The sequence below is a fragment of the Homo sapiens genome, chromosome 10 (genome assembly GCF_000001405.40).
Source record: "Homo sapiens chromosome 10, GRCh38.p14 Primary Assembly".
Lineage (NCBI taxonomy): Eukaryota > Metazoa > Chordata > Mammalia > Primates > Hominidae > Homo > Homo sapiens.
This window is the reverse complement of record NC_000010.11, coordinates 113,249,933-113,255,304: the sequence shown is the minus strand read 5'-3', so window position 1 is coordinate 113,255,304 and position 5,372 is coordinate 113,249,933. Positions and strand designations below refer to the sequence as shown.

Here is a 5,372-nt window from a genome sequence, read left to right as displayed (position 1 = left end):
AGATGAATGAAGCCCAATCTTTACCCTTGAGGAGCTTTGAGTCTGGGGTGGGTGGGGAGACACAGATATGATACTGTAGGAATACCTAGCAGTTATGTAGCCCTTCTAGGCACAGCACACTGTGAAGTGCTTTGCAAACATAATCGAAGGACATTGTCCCCATCTCCAAATGAGAAAACCAAGACTTAAAGTACTTAGGTTCCTTACCCCAAATCATGTAGCCAGTGAGTGCTGGAGCCAGGATTTGAACTGAGGTCTGGTTCCAAAGCCCATGCTCCAACCATCTCTGCCATACAAAGAATTTAACTTAGAGTTATTATATCTGTGAAGAACCAGGTGTGCCCAGGGTGTAATGGGAGTACTAAGAGTGGACATTTATCCCAGCTTGGATTTTACTCTAGATTTACCACTTACTAAACATGAGACCTTGAGCAAAGAACTTGATCCCTCTTGGCTTTAGTTTTTCAGTCTCCAAAATGGGTTTGATGGTATTAACCATATAGGATTGTCTTTAAATGAAACACGATAAAGTATATGAAGCTTCCAACAAAGGATCACCTAGTAGGTCACAGAGTAGGTGCTCAGTTAATATTGTTTTCTCTTTCAGGCTGCTTCTCAACTAGGAAATGGTGGGGGCTGGTACCCCAAAGCAAAAACAGGCCCAAAGTACACAGAGGAACAGGAACTCCCACACACTGCTGCTGGGAGTGTAGACAAGGGCAGCCACGTGGGCGGCACCCTAACATCACCTAGTGATACGTAAGGAAATCCAACCAGATCCGCAAGGGGATGGGCATGAGCGACACGTAAGAAAATCCAACCAGATCCGCGAGGGGATGGGCATGAAGTATTCAACACAGCATTGTCTATAACAGAGAGGAGTTGGAAGCAATCCAGATGTCTACCAATTGGAATTGAATAAGAAGATTATGGAGGAGGTCTTGTATGGAATACAATGTTGAAGTCAGGGGCAATGTCCCATGCACACGTAAACATGAATAGAACTTTAAAATACTGGTTTGGATGAAAAAGTACGAGTCAGAAAGAGATCTATAGCCCCTTTCCATTCATGTAAATAAAGAACACTTGCACAGTCAAAACAATATTGTGTATCTTCTAATGGTGTACATGTATCCAATGTATATATCTCTATAAGTAATAGCCCATGAAGATGTCCACATCCAATCCCGAGAACCTGTGAGCCTGTCAGATTAGATGGCAAATAGAACAAAAGTTGCAGAGGGAATTAAGATTGCTCATCAGCTGGCCTTGAGATGGAGGGACTATCCTGGAGAATTCGGGTGAGCCCAGTGTAATAATCACCAGGTCGTTATTAGTGAAAAAAAGAGGCAAGAGAGAGATACAGAATGTAGGAGTGATTGCAGAGGCCAGGTAGGTGGCTCACACGTGTAATCTCAGCACTTTGAGAGGCCAAGGTGGGAGGACTGCCTGAGGCCAGGAGTGCAAGATCAGCCTCAGCAACAAAATGAGACCCTATTTCTACAAAATAAAAAAGTTAGGCATGGTGGTGTATGCCTGTAGTCCCAGATACTCAGGAGGCTCGGAAGGAGGATCATTTTAGTCCAGGAGTTCAAGGCTGCAATGAGATATGACTATGCCACTGCACTCCAGCCCGGGCAACAGAGTGAGAACATGTCTCTTCTAAAAAAAAAAAAAAAAAAAAAAAAAAAAAGTAAATTGTTTTTAAAAGAATGATATAGACCATCCATTCCTGGCTTTGAAGATGGAAGGTGGCCAAGAGCCAGAGAATATGGTCAGCCTTTAAAAACTGAAAGAGGCAAGAAAACAGGTTCTCCTTCAGAGCCTGCAGAAGAAGCACAGGCTCTAATCATTTTCCAACAAATTATTTCGCCCAGTGTGACTCCTTTCAGACATCTGGCTTCCAGAACTGGAGGATAATAAAGCTGTGTTGTTTAGAGCCATCCCGTTTGTGGTCATTTGTTAGTGCAGCAGCAGGAAGCTAATGTGCTATCAAACGTGTGAGCATAAGTAGCATGCTAACAGCCAGGAGGAACGCAGGTAAAGACTGGGGATCGGGCAGTGCAGCTCCTGGACCTCAGGGGATGTGCGCCCTGCACTGGGTAGGCTGCTAAACTCGACTCTCTACCTGGGGCAAGGGAAAAAAGAAGGACGGGAGGGAGGGGGAAGGGAGGGAGGCAGGCTGGCTGGTTTGCAGCACGTCATACCAGGCCCCTCATGTCTAGCTAGCTAAGTACCTGGTGCTCCAGATGCGCTGAATGAACACACAAAGATGCAAACTGATGACCTGTAAAGGGAAATGCACAATAAAGAAAAAATCCAAAATTAAGGAGGACCTGTAAAGGGAGGTGCACAAAATGTTTAAATCATGGTAAGGTGAGGTTAGATTTAAACAATTTCTAGAGGGGGCTGGACTCTGGTCTGTGGTTTGCTCTGGTTTCAGAGTATGCTACTAAGCCATCTTTCCTGCCATACTAACCAAGAGGTACTTCTGGGTTGCATATAGATTTACTGAAGATAACAGACTTGCCTTTAAAAAATAGTGTATTAACACCAGTTTTACCCAATCTCTTCCAGAAAGCATTTCCAGAAAGCAACTCAGTTTATGAGGCTAATATTACCCTGATACCAAAAACAGATAGACATAGTACAAATAAAACCACAAACCAGTATCTCTCATAAACTTACACACAAAACCCCTCAACAAAGTATTAGCAAGTTGAATCCAGCAGTATGTAAAAAGAATTATATACTGTGACCAAGTGGGATTTATCCCAGGTATGCTAGGCTGGTTCAACGCTCAAAAATCAATCAATATAATCCACTATATCAACAGATAAAAGAAGAAAAACCACATGATCATATCAATTCATGTGGGAAAAGCATTTGACACAAGCCTACACCCATTCATGATAAAAATTTATCAGCAAACTAGGAATAGAGGGAGACTTCCTCAACTTGATAAATAGCATCTACAAAACACCCACAGCTGGGCTAACACCACACTTAATAGTGAAAGACTGAGTGCTTTCCCTTCAAGACCGGGAAAAAGGCGAGGATGCCCACTCTCACTGCTGTTATTCAATATGGAACCAGAGAAAAACAAACAAACACGACTGTATTTATTGGGCCTTCCTGGATTTCCCAACAGTATGAACCAACATCTGAACCTCCAGCTCCCTTCAAGACAGGTGAAGACCTCAGGGTCACAGCACAAGGGCCCCACCCACGTTTGGGTATCTAAACTACCCAAAACAGTAGCATTTCAGGTCTGATAACCCTCCCACTGGCCTAATGCTCACACACTTTAATTTTTTTAATAAAAATATTTCCCCTTAGCATTGATTATTGGATTCAAACCCTCACAGCATCCTTGTATACCTTTGAAGCTAAAGAGTTTCCCAAGTTACCATCAATCCATTCCAAGCTAAGAGAAAATAACCCAAATTGCAAGCTGTTTCATGTTACCTAATATCAGAATAAAAGCTTTCCTTTTATAACTCTCCACAAATTGCAAAATGCTTTCTTGTTCATTGGCTCATCAGATCAAATCCTCACCTCTCACCTCCGCGCCTCTCCTTGGCTCCTTCCGGCAGAGCTAATTGCTCCTTCCTCTGAGTTCCCATGGCACTTTATACGTGCACCTGTCGCCACAGTCGACACTTTCTATTATAGCCTTAGTTTAGGTCTCTCTGTGCCCTGCTAGACCTAGAGGGACCATGCAGCGATTAATTTAGCATCTCCTCCCCAGCACCAAGTGTGGGCTCCAGTGTGGAGAAGGGGCCCAATAACCGCATTTGGGCATAGTTCGATTGCAAGTTAGGGATTTGATTGACACGTAGAAGGGACTCAGTAACTTGTAGCTGTCGTGGGACATTGGAGAGATGAGGAAGCTGAGACTCGGGCACACTAAAGGACTCCATCAGGGGCACACAGCTAGGTGGTGACAGAGTTGGGCTTTGACACAGATCTTTTGCCTTTCATTTGGATAAACAGTCACTTTTCACCTGCTGATGTCCTGCCCTGTAGCTCTGGAGGGACCATACCCCAGGAAAGCAGCTGAGAGTTTAATTCATACCTCGGCATGGTAGTTAAAGAGAAAGAAACAGCCTTGTTCCTGTGGTGCGGAGACACAGCTCAGAAACAGAAAAACTGCTGGGACCCTAAAAGCCTCTGAAAACAGAATGCAAACCACAGAGCCCAGCCTATCACAAGTTCAACAAAGTTTTTCCACGTTGAACTCTGAACTTTGAGAAGTCTGGAATCTTTAGCAATTGCTTATTGCCTGCAGGATAGATGCAGTTAGTCCTGTGCCTTCTGGGCATGCCCTTAGCTGCAATCCTCATTGAAGTTGCTATGCTGCTGCTTTCAAAACTGCTCAAATTCCTTCACTCAAGTGTTCTTAGCACTTATGTTGATGGGGAATACTTCAAAGGGTACATCTTTACTTTATCAAATCTGATCTAATTTTGCAGATGGAATCAAAGAGGTTCGTTTTGAGTCTAGTCAAGTTTGCCAACCATCCCGGAGAGGAGGCATCAATGCCTTGTCATCTGTGTAATTAACCTAAACAGAGAGGTCCCCAAAGACAACAGAGTCTTCGGCCATCGAGTCCCAGAGACCCCTGGGCAGAGACAGAGGCCTCCCTCTGAGTGAGGGGAGCATGCGGAAGGGAAAGGACGGGTCTCTGATACTCTGGGAATCATGGCTGTTCCTTCTTGATAGCAATCAAAGACAGGATGGGTGTTCTGGAAGAATTCAATGAAGATTGAAAATATAATGAGCTTCAGTGTGCTTGGCAGTCTACAAAGAGTGCACCGTGAGGTATAAGAGAGCCCCGGACACAGGTAGCCAAGGCCCCAGGTATTAACCTTCACCCTCAGCTACGGGAACAATTACACTACTCTTCTCCCAACCTAGCACTTTTTACAAAATCCAAAACTTGATGTCGGTGCTAATTTGCCCCTGATACCTGCGTTTGAAGCTGGATCCAGGCATGGGTTCAGCTGCCTAACCAGACGGTAATTTCCAACTGAGCTATTATAATTGTCACAGTAAAATGTCTGTCTGCATACAACACACCAGGATGGGGGGAAAAGCCATTGATTTTGGTGTTCAGAAAAGTTCTCTGTGGCTCAGAGAAGAGACATTTCTGGTTGGTTTTGCTTTATCATGTATATATATATATATATATATATATATATATATATATATATATATGCACAGGGGCAGCCATCTCGCATTGAAATTGAACACGAAGGCGAAAGGCTCAGGGGTTCAGTTCTCAATGTCCTCAGCTCTGGGGTCCTTCTTTTAAAAAAAGAGCTCTTCAAAACTCCCACTCACAAGCTGCCCCCATGCCCTTGGCTTTG

The 5,372-nt window shown here is 44.0% G+C and overlaps 1 annotated feature.

Annotated features, from left to right (window-relative positions):
* Positions 1,676 to 2,177: an enhancer, noted in NCBI's record as "NANOG hESC enhancer chr10:115012887-115013388 (GRCh37/hg19 assembly coordinates)". NCBI's record gives its function as "activates a minimal SCP1, AML or CMV promoter by ChIP-STARR-seq in naive H9 embryonic stem cells {active_cell/tissue: H9 hESC(naive)}" and the evidence as "EXISTENCE:reporter gene assay evidence [ECO:0000049][PMID:30033119]".